Genomic DNA, 20,687 nt, shown 5'->3' on the forward strand with positions numbered 1-20,687 from the left:
GAATGGATAACAGTAGTGGTCCCCTCTAACTAATCTGTTAATTCCATTTTAATGAACAAAGCCCAATTATTTAAAATTTACATTTTACCTGTAGTCCCAGCTACTCAGATGGCTGAGGCAGGAGAATGGCGTGAACCTGGGAGATGGAGCTTGCAGTGGGCTGAGATCACCCACTGCACTCCAGCCTGGGTGACAGAGCGAGACTCTGTCTCCCAGAAAAAAAAAAAAATTACATTTTAAATAATCAAAGCCCAATTATTTAAAATTTACATTTCAGAAATATGATCACTTTGATGTTCTTACAACTGTCTGCAAAGTTTTTTACTTTATACTTTTCATACAGTTCTTTTCTGGTCTATTTTATTTTTAAGTACCTAGAAACAAGTTGGTGAATCTTTCAAAGACTATAAAAGTTATCACAAAAAATAAACCTTTAATGTTGAGAGCAATGTTCTTATTTTGTGAGAATTACTTATTTATTCTTCTTATAAGAAAATCCCAGGCCAGGACGGTGGCTTATGCCTGTAATCCAAGCACTTCGGGAGGCCAACACAGGAGGATTGCTTGAGCCCAGGAATTTGAGAGCAGGCTGGGAAACACAGGGAGACCCCATCTCTCCAAAATGTTTCTGTTATAAAAACACATGCACATGTATGTTCATCAAAGCACTATTCACAATAACAAAGACATGGAATCAACCCAAATGCTCATCGATGATAGACTGGATAAAGAAAATGTAGTACATATATACCATGGAACACTATGCAGCCATAAAAAAGAATGAATCACGTCCTTTGCAGGGACATGGATGGAGCTGGAGGCCTAATTCCTTAGCAAACCAATATAGGAACAGAAAACTAAATACTGCATGTTCTCACTTATAAGTGGGAGTTAAATCATGAGAACATATGGATACATAGAAGGGAACAACACATATGGGGCCTATCTGAGGGTGGAGGATGGGGAAGGGAGAGGATCAGGAAAAATAAATAATGGATACTAAGCTTAATACCTGCATGATGAAACAATCTGTACAATAAGTCACCACGACACAAATTTACCTATGTAACAAACCTGTACATCCTGCACAGGTACCCATGAACTTAAAACAAAAGTTTTTTAAAAAAGAAAATAAGAATACCTATTCATCATTGGGTATATTGTACAAAAAATAAAAGCAAATTAAATGAAAAAAAAATTAGCCAGGCATAGTGGCACACACCTGTGGTCTCAGCTACTCCAGAGACTGAGGTGGGAGGATCACTTGAGCCTGGGAGGTCGAGGCTACAGTGAGCTATGATCTTGCCAATACACTCCAGCCTGGGGCGACAGAGTGGACCTTGTCTCAAAAGAAAACAACAATGACAAAAGAAAATCCCTATAGAAAATGAATAATTTTTTTTGGTAAGGTTGGTATATTTTTCCCTTTGGGTCTCAGAAATTATTTATGCATTAACGATAACCAGTGAAATCTAAGTATTGAAAATGTTTTATAAATAGACTTTTCTATGACTGTACCTCTCATATCATCTCCATTCATATTTCATATTGATGTGTAAGAGAATTCTGCATTGATCAAGACTCTTTGGATCTGTTTTGGGCAGCACTTATTCAATTATTAATATTTTAAAATCTTTTTTTATTTACCATTTACAGGAAATAGTAGTAGAAAAAAAGTATAGCTTTTTATGGTAATGTTTGAGGATCAAAACCTTAGTAAACTTTATTAGTATCTCATATCTATTTTAAACTTGAAAACATGTTATCTTATTAATTTTCCAGGTATAAAATGAACACTGTACATATCCTGCAAACGTTTAATTTATTCATATTGAAATCTAACGGAACTGCTAAGGATTTAGGTGATTACTTAAAAGACCTCGATATTTCTCCTAAGTGCTGTAGGAAACCATAGATACTTGGAGGCTGGTATGTTTGAGTCTCTGTGTGTGTATGAGATGTGTGTATATGGGGTGTGTGTGTATGTGATGTAATTGTGTTAATAGTTTATAAAGGGCTGGGCGTGGTGGCTCATGCCTGTAATCCCAGCACTTTGGGAGGCCAAGGCGGGCAGATCACGAGGTCAGGAGATCGAGACCATCCTGGCTAACACGGTGAAACCCCATCTCTACTAAAAATACAAAAAATTAGCCGGGCGTGGTAGTGGGCACCTGTGGTCCCAGCTACTCGGGAGGCTGAGGCAGGAGAATGCGTGAACCCGGGAGGCGGAGCTTGCAGTGAGCTGAGATCCTGCCACTGCACTCCAGCCTGGGTGACACAGCGAGACTCCATTTAAAAAAAAAAAGTTTATAAAGGTCACTTTGATCACATTGTGCACGGTAGGATAGAGGAGATAGGTATGGATGTGGGAGATATTGAACCAGTTCAAGTGAAACAATGGTGGATGAAAAGATATATGGGTGACAAAGTTGAGAACTATTTCAATGGTCTTTACCAACATGCTGACTTGGAAGATATAAGTGTTTTATCCCATGACTTTGATGACCCCTTTATGGTCCATCCATTTGCTTATTTCATCCAAGAACTCCACTGGTTAGATGATTATAATATTCACAACCCAGGCCACTCAATGTTATATCTCCAATATCGTAGGGACATAGAATATTTATTGATTTTGAATAGCATTATTTCTTATGCATTGGTCATGTTTTGCAGGGCTGGTGCAAACTTGAGATTGAATGGTCAGAAAGGAAAGTGTGGGAGTTGTATGCTTAGCATCTTACTTCTCAAACAGCTTGGTGTAGTATACAAAGTACTGATTCAGAATTTAGAGAGACCCTGAGTAATCTCTATTTTTTGCTAGCTGCTAACCTTGGACAAAGTTCTTAACTTTCCTTGTAAGTTGATCAGAGTAATAACTTTCTTGCAGGTTTGTTGTAGGTAAAGGCAGAAATGCATGTAGATGACCTGGAAGGATGCTGGGCTTCTCCTAAATAGTATCTTTGGTATTCTATTATGATTACTTTTGGAGCAGAACATAAGCTTGCAGGATAGTGTTAAATGCAAGGTAAAATTACTATTTTATATTTTGCTTGAAACTCAAATAAAGATAAATTTTTATACTTACCATCAAGATGCTCAGGATAATAAGATCATTCGTGTTCCACACCAAGCGTGAAGGTTTCATGTCTGCCTTGCTTTATTAGTGAAGATAAGTTTTTTCCTTGGCTATTTTTGGATGTGTTGAAACAAAGCAGTTTTATATCAACCAGTATAATTTTCCCCTTCTCTCACATCGAGAAGTGAGCAGGAGTTGTCTGTCTAAGCAAGTAGTTTTCACATATCCAACATGCATCTGCAAAAACTTAACAATATCCTCTAGAACACAGGGAATCTTTCTTGGACAAAGTTCTGCTCATGTTCAGCCTCTCTCTTAGAACTAGAACTGAGTGTTATTCCTGCTCAGTGGCTCCGTTTCACCCCACCAAAGCTGACAGTGGGGCATGTGTAACAGACTGAACTGGAAGTTGGAGGAAATGAAGTAAAATTACAGTTCTATCACATACTGGCTGTGGGAACGTGGATATGTCACTTAACTCACCGAGCTTTTTTTCATTGCCACCTGTAAATTGGGAACACATATATTACTTATCTCAAAAGATTGCTATGAAGATTAAATAAAGGCACATGTAAAGACACCTGGAATAGTGCCTGAATGTAGTAGGCAGTTGTATCCACCCAAACTAGTACTGAAAAGAAACTCATTGACTTCCATAAACTCAAAGTCTGAGGAGTAAAGATGGCTTCAGGCTTGGCTTGGCTCAGTGTCCAAATGATAATCCCAGGTTTTATGTGACAGTTCTGTTTCTTCTAAAATAGCTTCATTCTAGCTCCATATGGTGACTTTCAGAAGCTTTGAGATCTCCCCACACTATCTCAGTAAAAGAGAGATATATTACTACTCTCTGCTGTCATTATATATACTATGTGTCAAGCACTGCACTTTACACAAAGCTCACAGGGTACAAATGCAATGAGGTTGGTTCACTGAAGGCAGGAAGAGGGTACTGTTGCTATCAGAAGAGGAGTGGAGGTGAGGCTTTTAAAAACTAACAAAATATGTACAATATAGCATTTAATAATTGCTCAAAACAAATAAGGTCAAGAGGCTATTTGACTGTAATTGACATTTGCACTCACAATAGTGCCGATTTCCAGAGCAGTGGTTCTTAGCTAGAGGTGATTTTGCTCCTAAGGGACATTTGATAATGTCTGGAGACATTTTTGATTGTCACAACCTGGGCAGGGGGTGTTACTGGCATCTAGTGCATAAAAGGGCCAGAGATGCTGCTACAGGCACAGAATAGTCCTTGACAACAAAGGATTATCAGGTCTAATCATGTGGTTGAGAAACCCTACTCTAGCAGGTGTATGAGCCATTGAAAATCATCACTACCATTTACTGAGCCCTTACTATATGAAAGCCTCTGTACTAAGAGGCTCATTACCTCATTTGAGCTACTCATTATCATACAAACTAGGGGATACAGTTATTTCCCTCTTAAAATGAAACCTGGGCAATGGCAAGAGGTCCGAAGACACAAAGCTGATAAATTCAGGACTCACGCTCAGATCTTTTACTTCCAAACTCCATAGATTTTTAAGAAGGCTCACCTTCTACTGGAGGTTAGCCTAGTTCTTAGTTAACTTCTGCAGAGCTAAGGGAGAGAAAGCATCTTTTACTTCCAAACTCCATAGATTTCTAAGAAGGCTCACCTTCTACTGGAGGTTAGCCTGGTTCTTAGTTAACTTCTGCAGAGCTAAGGGAGAGAAAGCATGCTTACATAACCAAAGCTTGCTAAATCCATTTTGGATGATCTTGTGAGCATATTATCCTTTCCCACTGAAGCTGCCTCAATGTGAGGAAGGCATCTGTCAATAAGCCACAGACTTGCAAAGATGCTGGTGATGTAAATATGCCTCCTGAGCTGCGCACTGGGGTATAAATGTTCTTAGTTTGACTTGACTTTTTGGAACCCCCTGTATGTTCTCTTAGTTTGGAGTGTAGGCACATACATCTTTCCAGGGCAGCACTATGTGGATCATAGGTCATTAGGGTCTTCTGCACAGTGTTTTTCTCCTTCTCCTCCTGGTATCATAAAATCTGACCATATTCTCTATTTTTTGAGGAAATTCAGAATTAGAATATAACATTTTTTAATAAGATGAAATTGCACAATTAATTACCCTTGGAGACAGAGAATAATTAGTTTATCTTGGGGGCTAATGGACATATTGCTTATTTTGTTTGAAGTTTTCTTAGTCTTTTGTTTGTTTCTTTCCACTTCAAAGCCCTGAAACCTCACGGCACATCAGACTGGCAGGGGCACTAATTTTTTATGGGAAGATCCAATTGACATGAAGTTCTAACTGCAGCAAAATCTCCCTTGGAACCATTCTTGCAATGTGATTGTGTAGAGAAGGGTGGCAGGTGTCCAGTCCCTTTCTCTGTTAACTGTACAGCTTGCTGCTGAGTTAGCATGCTTCAATGTCAGACTTGCCTTACATCCTGACTGATTTAAATTAATACCCTGGGTTTCGCACCTGCAGGAGCCAGAGAAGCTCAGGTGACATTTGGCAGAACGTACTAAATAATTACCGCACATGAGTGCCTTTCTTTACCAGCTGGAGAGAGTCTCTCTTGTGCTTTTGACATCGTTTTAAGAGAAACTTTTAGGTATGCCAAAAATATGTGAAAATCCAAATTGCATATACAAATACTTTTCCTTAAATGGAGTTCACAAGCGGTTTTTGAAAAAGATTTTTATTTATTTGGATATGAAGGCATCTGAACAGCTTTAGAAAATAATTTGTTTTTTTGTATATTTCACCCTAAAACCAGCCTAATTGGTGAAATAACTTTTCATTCAAGAAAAAAACTGTTTACTCCTTTAATTGGTGAGTTTACAGGTAAAATGACAATTGTTTTGATAGCTTATGAATATTTTCTATTTATTTGAATATTTGAAATATATGTGTATTTGCATATTTGAAAGCTACATATTCCCAATTTATCTTCTTAGGTAGCTTCTTAGTAATCTCTCATTTCTGAATGTTTTACAGAGCATACACTTATCCTTATTGAAGAATTTAAAGCAAGTAAGCAATCCAGTATGCTGAGCTCCCCCAACTATGTTGAGTATGACAATTAGAATACAAATGTGCTGGATCTAACACAAGTTTGCTCAGGAGAAGTAAAGTCCTCTTCTTTTGTAAGAAAAAGGGAACAAACATTGTGTCATTTAAATGGCCACTTGTTATTCATTAGCATTTTCCTCAAAAATAATTTTAATTACAAAGATAATGCACACATTATAAATATTCCAATAGTAGAGGCATGTATGAAATCAGAAGGGAGCATTCTCTTTTCTACTCCACGGAGTAACCTCTTTAATAATCATCTTAATAGATGTTTCATTATTGCATGTCTACTGTCTACCACACAGTGTGCTAAGTGAGAGGTATGAAGACAAACAAGACAAGGCCACCATTCTAAGAGGCTTAGCTAGATCCTATCCACCTCTGAGCTTCTGTGATTTTATTAAATAGCATGCAAAATTCTTGAAAGAAAGGATGACTTTTTTCTGACCTTTGAGGCAAAATTAGGCACTCAGCAACATACCTTGTCTGTGGCCATCTTTAATGTAGGTGATGGCCCACTGGTGTTTGTGATTACTTTATATGAGATGGTGTTTTGGAATTCTAGAAAGGGCTAGTAAAAAAGAATCATTCCTTCCTTTATGCAATATTCACCTAGTGCACCCTAATGCCTGGTGTGGTTTTAAGCACTGCAGATGTAGCAGTGAAAACAACATACAACTTACTCAACAGAAGAGAGAGATATAGACAATGATGAACATTTTAAAAGGTAAAATAGATGTTAGATTGAGTCCCACAGTGAAAAATAAAGTAGGGAAGGATGATAGACAGTGCCAAAGAAGGGGTGCAATTTTAAAGAGAGTGAGCAGGACTGGCTTTACTGAGTACGTAATCTTAAGAGGTGAGAGTGTGAGCCATGTAAGAATCTGGGGGAAGAGCATTCCTTCCAGAAGGAAGATGGAAGAAGATGCTGAAGAGGAAGTATTCAAAGAAGAGCCAGGAGGTTGATGTGTCTGAGCAGAATCAATGGATGGGAAGCCACATGACACAGGTGGAGATGCAGCGGGGTCAGGCCATGTGGAGCTTGAAGGTGGTTGTGAAGAATTTGGCTTTTAGTCTTAGTCTGATGGGGAGCCCTCAGGGGCTGTGTAGAGTTGGACAACTACAGAGTTTGAGCAAGTCCCCAAGATGGCTCTCACTTCTGACACCAACTGCAAGTTCATGGGTTTCTAAAACTACCCTAAGATTTAGTAAGTCACTAAAATGACTCCCAGAACTCACCAAAAGCTATTAAACACACAGTTATGGTTTATCACAGCAGGGCATATAGATTGAAATCAAGCAAGCAAAGAAGTGCATGGGAGGATGGAGTCCAGAGAAGTACCAATTGTGGAGCTTCTGTTATCTTCTCCCTGTGGAATCCAGGCATGCTGCTTTCCTCCTGCCTGCATGTGACATTACACATGGAGCATTGCCTACCTACATGCCCCTAAGCCACCACTCACAAAGATTTTACTGGGCTCCAGTATGTACGTGTGATTGATTGATTGATTGGTGGATCTCAGTCTCCAGGCTGACTGATATCACATGACCTGAAGCCGTTATCTTGAGTTATATTGTTCCTGTCTAGCTCAAGTTTTCCAGGCAGGCAAACATTACCTTGCAGGAGATCCTAGCAAAGGGCTATTTTTAGATGAGGTTAAATTCTTCTCTATGCTGGAGGTGTTAGGCAAAGAAGTGACATAATCTTTTTTTTCTTTAAGACTTTCTCAGGCTAAAACCAGTTACGGGGTATTGTAGTACTCATGTGAGGGACAAGAATGGCTGTAGCCATGTGGGTAACAGTGAATATGGTCTTAAGTCTTGGATGATGATAGGTTTTTAAGCTAAAGCCAGAAGGATTTACTGACAGACTGGATGTGGGCTAAGAGGGAAAGGGAAGTGTTAGGGACCCTCCAGGAGCAGCTAAGACTGCAGAGAAAGGGTGCAGAGTGAGCACTGGGGCTGAGGATTTTCCAGAGGTCAGTTTTGGAAAGGTTAACTTCAGGGCTCATTCAGCAGTTTACCCCACTTACTAAACTGCCATTTCATCTTGTCAGAGATTAGTAAAGCTACACATTGTGTTTGAGTTTAGAACTGTTAAAAGCACTGCTAATTCCAACCCATTTCTTATAACTGCTATTGCAGGAAGAATGTGTGAAAATGCTTTCTTCACACAAGGAGACAGATCATATCATAAAGCAAAAATGGAAAAAAGTGATCTTCCTTTGACTTTATGCACATCATAAGTGATAAAGAACAGATACAATTAATAAACAACCACTGTCTGTTATACTAGCTTTGTTCTATGACTACAGATAATTAATTTATTCTTCTGTTTGTTGGTTGGTTTTTCCACCAACCTTCAAGTCCAGGCAGTAAGTATTAGAATTTACATCTAAAAGTGATAGCGAAGGTCTCTGTGCACATTTGAGGGGACTCTGGCTGTTAGGAAACCTGTGCTAGTGATGATGAAATGGCAGGAGGAGGGCCACAGTGTGGCCCTGCACAGTCTGCACTGGGGCCTTTCTCTTCACCCTGCACACCAGCTAGGAAGCTTTATATCTCATAAGGTGTGCTAATCCTCCAGCACAGACACTGTACTTCACTGGAGCTGGAGAAACAAAACACCCAATTTTTGCATCCTAGTTTTTCTTTAATTAAAGCTGATCCTTTTCTTAGAGGGCGATTCCTGTTTCCAAATTCATATTTTCATTCTCAAAGAAGAGGTTTATTTTATTCTGTTTTCACCCACCCATGAGCCTCCACATCACTCTTTCTCCCAGTCACACACGTTCCATTCCCATACTTCTTAGTCATTCTTGCTTCCCTACTGCTGTTCTGGGTTGCAGCTGCCCGCATTTCCTTCAAGGCAAATATGTGGCTGTGCCTCTCTCGTGAGGTTTTCCAAAGAGTCCTGTTCTCTTTGGCTTTGACGTTTTAAAGGGTTAAAATAGCAACAACAACAAATTCTAATTAAATGCTTATTTGATGCCGGATCCTTTGCTAAATACAAAATGCAATCTCTCACCATTCTGTGTGGTTTGGGAAACCTTGTTATTCACATTTGAAATATGAAGTCATGGAGACTTCGAGAAGTCAAGGCACTTGTCCAGGGTCGTGATTGCATCATGGGAGGGAGCTGGGATTGAGACTTCTTATCTTCCAGACATAGCTCCACATCACCTGGAGCAGGGCTCTAGGAACTAGACCTGTGTTTCCAAAAATGTGGTATGATTTTGGGCAGTAGAGGCGATGTTAAATAAATATGAGTCTCACGGTGATAGTCATTTTCTTTTCCATTTACTTTTTGATCTTTTTGGTTGAATAATGGAGAAACATTTCAGTTGGATGCCGCATGCCTGACACACATCTCTAAAACTTTCTAATGTACCTGTGTTACTAAGAAGTGAGCAAACTTCTAGCTCAAATCTTTGACAGCAAGAGGATGTAGCAGAATTTGATAACAATTTTTTAATGTATTTTTTTTAGATGGAATCTCTCTCTGTTGCCCAGGCTGGAGTGCAGTGGCGTGATCTCGGCTCACTGCAATCTCCACCTCCCGGGTTCAAGCAATTCCTTACCTCAGCCTCCCGAGTAGCTGGGATTATAGTCGCACACCGCCATGCCTGGATAATTTTTGTATTTTTAGTAGAGATGGGGTTTCATCATCTTGGCCAGGCAGTCTTGAAGTCCTGACCTTGTGATCCACCCGCCTAGGCCTCCCAAAGTGCTGGGATTACAGGCATGAGCCACCGCGCCCAGACTTTTAATGTATTTTTTAAGTCTGCTTTCAATTTATAACAGGGGATACTGGTTTGCTATTGATGTGATGATTCTAACTTACAAAAATATATTCGTTTAAGGAAAATAAAGCAAGTTGATTAAAAATGAATCACGTAGGTGGCACAAAGATTTGACAACCATCATGAAAGTTGTTTGTGAATGATGGATGTCGCCAGCTGTCCCATGCTCAGAATCCTGAGTGGCAAGTGATACATGATGTGTTATCTCACATCAATTCCCATTTCTCACCCTACCAGTCATAGAAAGGGCTAGGAAAACAATTGCAGTAGCAGGTGGGCCAGATTCCCCTGATTTCCAGCGAGTACACACACGGGGCACTAGGAGAATAGACTGCTGCTTTGTCTTAAGCTGAGATCAACCAGGCAGCAATGCCAGTGATTGGAACAGGAAAGACAACAAAGATAGTCAACCACAGAATGTCCTTGTCATCCCAGTCTGTACTGAAGCAACAGTTCCCTAAACTCGGACACTGCCTTGTATAGAAAACCTCTTACCAGGTATTCATTACCTGGGTTCTCCCTTGTCCTCATTTTGGTCTATTTCAATGATTTTCAACTGGGGATACTTGTCAATGTCTGGAGACACTTTTGGTTGTTAAACTGCAGGGTACTACTGGCATCTAGTGAGTAGAGGCCGGGGATGCTGCTCAGTAAACTACAACGCCCAGGACAGCCCTAATAACAAAGCACGATCAGACCACGTCAGTGTTGCTGACTTTAGTAGAGCTGAGATCAAGTCCGTATTACAAGCTCCTTAGAAATTCCTCCCAAATTTATTCCTCACAATGAAACTCCTAGAACCTACGTGGCTAAGCCTCTTGCTTCTTCATCTCATGTCTGTGAAAGTACGTTTTCTTGTCATAGTGTTGTTGGCCTTGCTATAGCCTCAGGGGGAGGGGGAGGGGATTGTACTCCACTTGTTCAAACTGTATTTTTTTTTTTTTTTTTTTTTTTTGAGACGGAGTCTTGCTCTGTCGCCCAGGCTGGAGTGCAGTGGCGCGATCTCGGCTCACTGCAAGCTCCGCCTCCCGGGTTCACGCCGTTCTCCTGCCTCAGCCTCCCGAGTAGCTGAGACTACAGGCGCCCGCCACCATGCCCGGCTAATTTTTTGCATTTTGAGTAGAGACGGGGTTTCACCGTGTTAGCCAGGATGGTCTCGATCTCCTGACCTAGTGATCCACCCACCTCGGCCTCCCTAAGTACTGGGATTACAGGCATGAGCCACCGCGCCCCGGCCTCAAACTGTATTTTTAGTTTGCCTCACTTTCACAGACAAAAGTAAACATTCTGTGCTTTTTTTTTTTTTACTTTTAATTTTATATCCCTCTCTGTCAGGTGCTTCGGATCTGTTTCTCTCAGGTTTTTGGATTCCAGATTTTCATTTTCCCAACGCTGACACCCACCCCTCTTCTCAACTGTACATTTCCTTTTTTAATTGCCGCATCAGTATGGCTCATGCAACCATGATATTATTCTCAAATGTTTTGCATATGTAGATCTTGTCTCTCCAAATTAATTCTCAGCTCCTCAAAGAGAAAGCCTATGTTTACATCCTTCACAGCGGCTGTTATGCTTTGTCTCTGATAGGTGTAACAAGTACCTTATTCTTTCAATTATAACGTAATTGTAAATGTAAAATACAACATTGATTTAATAGCTGCCTTGGCAGGGGTAGGGAAAAAGAAAAGCTTACCTTAAATATACATGTTGGCCGGGCACGGTGGCTCATGCCTGTAATCCCAGCACTTTGGGAGGCTGAGGTGGATGGATCACCCGAGGTCAGGAGTTCGAGACCAGCCTGGCCAAGATGGTGAAACCCCATCTCAACTAAAAATATAAAAATTACCCAGGCGTGGTGGCAGGTGCCTGTAATCCCAGCTACTTAGGAGGCTGAGGCAGAGAATTGCTTGAACCTGGAAGGTGGAAAGGTTGCAGTGAGCCAAGATGGTGCCACTGCACTCCAGCCTGGGCAACAGAGCAAGACTGTGTCTCAAAAAAAAAAAATATATATATATACACACACACACACACACACACGTATACACACACACACGTTGAGGTCAAAATGTGTTCTGCTTTTGGCAGTGTCCATATATTCTACACACACACACACACACAAACACACACAGAGAGAGAGAGAGACAGAGAGAGCCATGTGCACAGAATACATCTTGGAAGCAAGAAAATATGAAACTTATTGGCTTACTGATTTCAAATGTTTACTTATTCATTCTGTCTACCATGAGATAATTTATTTTAGTTTTCATAATTTCAACCCCATTAGTATTTTTCTAATAAGATATGTTAGTGTGCAATGTTATGGGCAAAACGAGAGAACAGAGTTTCTGAAGTTGGGCACTCAGTGCATATGAACCATAGTGTCTTGGTCTTGAATCTTCACAGTACCCAGGATCACAGTCCCAGCACATGCACACTTGTGCTCTGTCCACTGGGGGCTCAGCCCCGCAGGCTACCCCTCTTCCCACCACCTCCCCAACATGTTGGCTTCACTTACCTGTGTCCCACCTTAAAGCTTTATATGTGCAGTTCTGTCTGTCAAGGCTGTTTTTCCTGCCTTCTTTCTCAAACCACTCCCCTCCCCAGGGTAACTCAATGAATTCTCAGTGTCAGTAAAAGTTGCTCAAGGAAGCCTGGGTCAGGTTCCCGGTGATGCTTTTCCTAGCACTGCCTTCTGCTTCACAATTCATTCTACAGTTATTTATTGAACATGAAATGTAAACCAAGCCATGCTCTAGGCATTAGTGGAAAAGCTGCGAGTATATCAGAACAAAATCCCCGTCTACAGGGAGCTTACATTCTGGTAAAGTAATGGAAGCTCTCTTTACTTCAAGATGTAATTGTGTACTCTACATATCCTATTTAATACTTGCAGTAAATCTAGGTGAGAGTTCTTAGCATTACATTTGTTTACATATAAAAATGCAGATTTAGGCAGGTTAGATAGCTGACAGTAGGTCACAAAGCTGGTGAGATGGCAGGCCAGCCAGGTGATCCCTGGTCAAGCTCCTGCATTCTATTATGTTGCCTTTGGTAGGTGGAAGAATGAATCCTTCCCAACATTTTCTGAGCTATTGGTTCCTTCTGAATTCTTGAATAATTGAATAATCCATGATTCGGAGTGACAGGCATTTCATTTAGGCAATTATTGGGAAACTCAAAACTATACCTGCATCTATATGGCAGCAATATTATTATATTTGAATCCTTATCATCACAGAGGAAATTAGAAAGGCCTAACTTAAACTTTTTTTTTAACCTTCTCTGGGTTTCCAATCCACTGGTTTCCATTAATGTACGGAGTGTTTGGGCCACTTGGGGCCACTTTGGATACAGGAAGAGCATCCAGGGTAAAAATCAATGGGTAAAGAGAAAGGAGGAATCGGGAGCAACAGAAGTTAAAGCAGGTGGCTTTGCTATTCTGCTAAAGGGTAAACCCATTAGAACATCTTTGTTCTGTGTTGCATTTTCTCTGGAGACGAGAAGCAGACATGGCTGTAGGAGGTTATGTAAGACCATTAGCCTGTTTGATGTGCCTTTCTTTTCACTTCCTTTTTTTGGTTTGTTTGTTTTCTTCTTACTGCCTTGGGGAGTTAGCCCATCATATGGTTTTGATGGAGGCATGTAGTAACATTTTAGAGTGTTGTAAAGCTGCTTATGAAACGGTTCCAAACACATCAATTAGGAGGGGTGGATAAGATAAAAGGACTTGTGGGTAGAGTATAGAAGAGACCTGATGGAAGAGCATCTGAAGGTCAGTTTGTGGTCATTAGCATCTTCATGGGTCAGGCTGTCCAATGAAGGACACATGGCTTTGAGCAATAGGAGCAAAAGTCCTAACAATTTACACCAAAGGCCTCATTTCTGTTCTATTTAGAGCTCTTAATGCATTTTGTGTCTTTAATGCACAGTGGTGATTTCTTGGCCAGATCTGGTTGATTAAGGCCTTTTGACTCTCACAACTTAAAAAGAAAATGAAACAAGTTGCTGACATATAAAATTCAGGTGACTTCACATAAAAGTCAAGAAGTCTTGCTTCTCTTAAACATAATAGAATGCAGGAGCTTGATCAGGGATCACCTGGCTGGCCTGCCATCTCACCAGCTTTGTGACCTACTGTCAGCTATCTAACCTGTCTAAACAATCAGAAACTGTGAGTACCTTGGACGCGTATTTCCCCATTCCCCCACATAGACTCCTGTCTAGGGCTGACTTCTGGATACCATGCTTAGACAGGACCTGTGCTCTCTGCTAGCTGCGCTACCTCTACCCTAGGTCATAGTGAGTTTGAGCACCTTTATGCATTCACGTTCTCTGCCTGAACTCTAATGGAATTTGAGGTTGTGTCTCCTGTTGTTTTCTGTTAGTGGTAAGTGGTGTGTGTGTGTGTGTGTGTGTGTGTGTGTGTGTTCCAGATCTTCAGGCAGAGGAGAGGGAAGTCCATGTACATTAAAGAAGAATGTTTAGTCCTATAGTTTTGGTTTCATTTGTTTTTGATAACAATATTTATTTAGAGATTTAAATGTCATTAAGGGAAGGTTGTGGATTTATTATGTTTCTTAAAAGTGGGCATTGGGGGCCGGGTGCAGTGACTCATGCCTGTAATCCCAGCACTTTGGGAGGCAGAGGTGGGCAGATCACGAGGTCAGGAGTTCGAGACCAGCGGCCAAAATGGTGAAACCCCACCTCTACTAAAAATACAAAAATTAGCTGGGAGTGGTGGCACATGCCTGTAGTCCCAGCTACTCATGAGGCTGAGGCAGAAGAATTGCTTGAACCCGGGAGGTGGAGGTTGCAGTGAGCCAAGATCGCACCACTGCACTCCAGCCTGGGCGACAGAGCGAGACTCCATCTAAAACAAAACAAAACAAAACAAAACAAAACAAAACAAAACAAAACAAAGTGGGCATTGGGTAAGAGTGATTTTCCAAGAGTAAAATTAATTAATGGGTTATGATATAAATTAAGCATTCCACCACTAGTATTACAAATAAGATAGAATAGAAAATAATAGCATGTTATAGATTGATGATAGATTGATAGGTATACTGGCTAAAAATCTAAACTACATTTCCTACGGCGGGTTGCAGTTAACAAAGACTTTGAAAGCAACTAGATTGTCCAAGCTTGAGAAACATAGCTGCAAGTTTTGGTATTAATCTGTCACACTACAAGTATTTCTGAGTAACAGGTACCTTCATTACTTCTGGAACCAAGGTTGGCATTTAAGGAAGTAAATAAATATACAGTGACCTCTGCCCCAGGGGAAACCAGTGGCCACTTTTTCCTCTTAAAGAATTGATTAAGATTACTTCCTTCTCTTGACAAATTAATATTTCCTAATTGATGGAATAAAGATGTATGAAAAACAAAACCTTACAGAATTGGATGCCAAACAATAGAGTCAAGTTTGTATGGCGGCTTAAATAAGGAAGAGGAAGTAGAAAGGGTTTAAGTATTTTAAGATGTCTTCAGGGAAGAAATGGGACTTTACTGAAAATGCCTTGAATTTCAGTTTCAGATCTTCTTTGGGTTAAAATGACTTAATAATTAAAATCACATGATCAACCTCATGAGCTAGTTCTTTAGATTAGCTTATTGAAAGAGCCTTCATGTTTTTCCCTCTATTTCTTCTTCTTCTTTTTTTTTTTTTTTGGTGGGGGGATGGCACCTCTCTCTGTCACCCAGGCTGGAGTGCAGTCGCATGATCTCAGCTCACTGCAACCTCCACCTCCCAGGTTCAAGCAATTCTCCCTGCCTCAGCCTCCAGAGTAGCTGGGATTACAGGTGCCCCCCACACCATGCCTGGCTAAGTTTTGTATTTTTTAGTAGAGACAGAGTTTCACCATGTTGGCCAAGCTGGTCTCGAACTCCTGACCTTAGATCATCCGCCCACCTTGGCCTCCCAAAGTGCTGGGATTACAGGTGTGAGCCACCACACCCAAACTCCCTCTGTTTCTTCATACATGGCTCATATTCATAAAATTCATGAAATTTAATTCAAATGTAATGGGTTTTGGCCCACTACTTAGGCCATGCCATATGTATAGAAGGCTGTCATTTGGCTGTGGTACTGGGCCAACTGCGAAACATTAGATACATCTTCCTCGTATTATTGCATTAACTGCATAGACTGGGCTAGACTAAAAAAAATAACAGTGGTTTAGGCTGAGAATTTGCTTAGTTTCTATGCTGTGTTAAACAGTTCTTTAGATGGGAGCAAAATTCAGGCACTGAAGCTACCGTTCAGTTTTTCAGCAAGAAATTCTGAAATGGAAGGAGTGGCGTTGTGTCTTAGAATAATTCGGCTCTTTAAAACAAGCAAGCAAACAAAACAACCTCTTAGTTTACTGTTGGCATATGTATGTATCAAATTCAGAGCTTCTTTTAATATCCCTGCATATGATTTTGTCCAAGTTCTTTAAAAATATTTATAATAATTAAATATATCTTAGTGTAGTTTTATATATATACACACACTAAAATATATATATAGCATATATACACACACACTAAAATATATAGAGAGCATATATATACACACACTAAAATATATAGAGAGCATATATATACACATACATATACTAAAATATATTTAAGTAAAAAGCATTTATTTGTTTCTTGCCTAATTGTGTGTACCAGTCTTCCCTTATTAATGAAATTTATTTCTCTTTGTTTACCTTTACCATCTGAGGTACAGATACCGTTCTTCTTAACACTTGATGTTAATTATCAAAACCATACAACTTTCCGTGAAGAACTTCTCTAATGTTCCAAATATTAATTCAGCACAGTCATGCTCATTGAAAAAAAAATTAACTGCATTTGATCCATCACATTGAATGAAAGCTGGAGTAATATTTGATCTAGGATTTTAGGAAGGAAAGAATCCTTAAAGTCATGGTCTGTAGGGAAAGCGAGAACAGAATCTAAGAGACATAGAATCTTTCTGTCTCTCTGCGCTGGCAGTTTCTGATGAGGAGCTATTCACAGACTGTACAAAGGAATACGCTTGCACAGGTATTTCTCTTTGAGAGTGGCAAGGTGAAGGATAGGGAAGGTGAAGTATTTATTATACTGCAAATCAAGAAACAGCTTTTTTTTAAAAAAAATTTCTGTTTTACTTTGTGATAAAACCATTCAGCACAGGTTAGCCTGGAGTCCCTTGGTCCCCTGCCCTTGTTAATAACAATTAATTGAACACTTTGAACATTCCGATTCTAGTTAACTTTGTTTAACAAATGTGAACAAGAATAAAAAATAATAAATGGGCGCAGCCTAATGGAGTATGCCAGGATCTTGGTGCATTGAACTTCTAGGCGCTGGATTTTCAGAAGCTGTTTTGTTTTTGTTTTCACAGGATGTGTGAGACTGGTGAAGGGCTGTTTATCTTTCAGACCCGAGACGGGGAGGCCATCTATCAGAAAGTCCACTCTGCTGCCTTGGCCATAGCCGAGCAGCACGAGCGCTTGCTACAGAGTGTGAAAAACTCGATGGTACGTTTGGAATTTCTTCCTCGTGTCCCAGTGCCTATCACTGCAGAAAGCAATTGGGTCATTTTTGTGCTGGAAAATATGGTCAGCATTATTTGAGCAGATGACTGATTCCTCTTCTCAACAGTGTATCACTTGGATTAAATGGCATTCCAGAATGCCTGATGTGGGCCGTTGGTAATACCTTGGCCATACATCCCCATTATCTACTTTACAACTCAATCGTAAGGGTGTGTAAAACTAATTTGCGTGTGTACAGACATCTATAGACACAACCATGTGGATCATCTACCTATGGAGATATGTCTTGCTATGTCAGAAGTTATTTCAAATGTCAACAGGGGCCAGAGAGAAAAATGTAAATGAAAGAAGAGGGCTGAGGGAAACTGGAGTGAAATGTCAAAAGCCCAAGACCAGACAACTGTTGACATGAGAACAAGAGATTGTGACATCCATCTAGGTAGATCCCTTGATTTTTCAAGGGAAGCCAAAGATTTGAGTCTATATGTAATACCTGCTAGTTGGTAACTGTTGGAAATTAATTCTAGTTAAGAGTGCAACACTTTGTGGGTCAAAGAGAACCTGTCTGCGGGTGAACTGCTACCCACAGCCATGCGTGTGCCATCTCTTCACAGTCATCGGTATATAAAGATGCCCAAACATAAACACATAGCACACATAAACATGCCCTCAGAACACTTACTCTTTGCTTTACACTGTGCTGGGGACTTGGATTACATAAATAATTATGTTCATGAGGCCAGGTGCGGTGGCTCACTCTTGTAATCCCAGAACTGTAATCAGGCTGAGGCAGACTGATTGCTTGAGCCCAGAAGTTTGAGACCAGCCTGGACAACATGGGGAGACCCTGTCTCTACAAAAATACAAAAATTAGCCAGGTGTGGTGGTATGCGACTGTAGTTCCGGCTACTCAAGAGGCTGAGATAGGAGGATCACTTGAGCCCAGGAGGTGAAGGCTACAGTGAGCCGAGTTTGTGCCACTGCACTTCAGCCTGAGTGACAAAGAGAGACACTGCCTAAAAATTTAAAAAAAATAATAATAATTATGTTCATGAGTTTTTTCTTTAAGGAGGGTAAATTCATGAAATCATAAATCATAAATGAATGCACAACACTTAAGTAATGCACATCATGCGTTGTGGCTGCAAATGTATATATAGAGCTTCACATCTGGAAGGAAATATACAAAACAAAAAGGAATTGCGTTGGCAAGATTAGGGTAGTTTGAAACTTTATGATTGAAACATGTGGGGTGGTTGGATTTAAAGAGTGGAGGGGCAAAGCATGCCAGTAATGTGATCTGTTCCAACACAGCCCCGGGTTATTCCCAAATGACGTCTATAGGCAGCAATCCGGGATTTTAGAGCCGGGGTCAGCAAATCTTCCTGTAAAGAGACAGTAAATGTTTTATGCTTTGTGGACTAACATGGCCTGCAAGTACTTAACTGCCCTTGTAGCACAGCTGCAGCTATTGGAAAGATGTAATCAAATGAGCATGGCCATGTCTCAAAACAAACTTTATTAATGGACATTGAGATACAAATTTCATATAATTTTCACATGTCAGGAAATATTACTCTTCTGTTGATTTTCTCTCAACCATTAAAAAGTGCAGGTTTTTTTCATTGTTTGTTTTTTGCATATGGGTCATTCAGAAACAGTCAGCAGGCTGGATTTGGGCCGCAGGACAGAGCTTATACTTGGAAAAGAGCAAGTGCCTGCCCCCGTGAGCCAGTGCTGACGTAAGCATTTGCGAGAAACCAGGCTTGAAGACTTGTGTATGATTTCAGAGGTGGTGGACGTGGGCATGCTGAGGAGGCCTGGAATGAATTAAGGGATTCTGATGGTTGTTTTTATATGTCAACCTGACTGGGACACAGGGTGCCTAGATATTTGGTTAAACTTTCTTGTGAGTATGTCTCTGAGGGTGTTCCTGAGTGACAGTAATATTTGAAATGATAGATTGAGTAAAGCAAATTGCCCTCTGCTATGTGAGTGGGCCTCATCCAATCTGATGGAGGCCAGAATAGAACAAAAGGAGGGTAAGAGAGAATTAGCTCTCTTTGTGGTCTTGAGTTGGGACATTGGTCTCCTTTGGCCTTCAAATCCAGACCAGAAACCATCACCATTGGCTTTCAGGCCTTCAGACTGCATATCTTGGTGTATATATCCTATTTACTCTGTTTCTGGAAAACTGTGACTAATATAACTAATTTAGGGGTAGAAACAGATAAAACAGAGATAAATTTCAGTGCCATCATACAGTGTTCAAGATCATGGCCCGTGAAGCCAGACTTAGTTCCAACACCATTTCTGAAACATTCCAGCTTTGTGGAGGAGAACAAAGTTCTTGATATCCCTGAGCTCCAGTTTTCTCCTTTGTAAAATGGGAAGGGTAATAGTATTTATCTTAAAGACCCCTCTTAAAGTTTAAGTGAGATATGCTCATAACATGTTCAGCCCAGAGCTCATTATATAGCTTTCCATGAACTGTAGCTGTTATTACTGTTGTTAATAGCTGAGCCATCATTAGCATTGCTGTTAATAGCTGAGCAGACTGGTTGGTCCAGATTGATCCTAGCAATGGCTGATGAAAATGGCTGGAGGATTATCTAGTAACAACATCTAAGCCCATTTACATCTGCGCCTCATCTCTCTCTCTCTCTCTCTCTCTCTCGTCACCTCTCTCTCTCTCTCGCCATCTCTCTCTCTCTCGCCATCTCTCTCTCTTTCTAAATGTCTAAGTAGAGCAAATGTAAAATTAGATTGAGAAGGAATGGGGAATGATATAATTTAATAGATTTTAGAGAATTAGAACCTACTATAAGAAACTATAAGAAATCATTATATTTATTATTTTCTTATTTCAAAAGGAATCTACACATTATTGAAAAATTGTAGACAACACAGCAGAACAAAAAGAACATAGTAAGTCATCCCTCTGCCCGCCACACAAGAACATACCTGTTTCTCACTTTTGAGTGGGTAGCTTTCCAGTATTTTAACTAGGTGGATGTAGAAAATAGAATTATATTGAATACATTGCTTGTGCTAGCTTTTTGCAAGAAAATGTCTATATATTGTCTCTTTAAATATCATCTGCAACATCATATTTTGTGGTCCTATTTTATTATATGGATATTTCATAGATTTTTAAAACTATGCATCAAGGTTGGGTACGGTGGCTCAC

The 20,687-nt window shown here is 40.2% G+C and overlaps 1 protein-coding gene across 4 annotated transcripts in view; it reads left to right on the forward strand.

The window, feature by feature from the left end:
* Window positions 1-20,687, forward strand: part of DOK5 (docking protein 5) — a 175,577-nt gene that overhangs the window by 117,452 nt on the left and 37,438 nt on the right. For all 4 annotated transcript variants that reach the window (NM_018431.5, NM_177959.3, XM_011528904.2 and 1 more), the window contains exon 6: window positions 17,344-17,479. In NM_018431.5, coding sequence (NP_060901.2) covers window positions 17,344-17,479 — 136 coding nt within the window. The remainder of the gene's footprint in view (window positions 1-17,343; window positions 17,480-20,687) is intronic.

Source organism: Homo sapiens, chromosome 20 (genome assembly GCF_000001405.40).
Source record: "Homo sapiens chromosome 20, GRCh38.p14 Primary Assembly".
Lineage (NCBI taxonomy): Eukaryota > Metazoa > Chordata > Mammalia > Primates > Hominidae > Homo > Homo sapiens.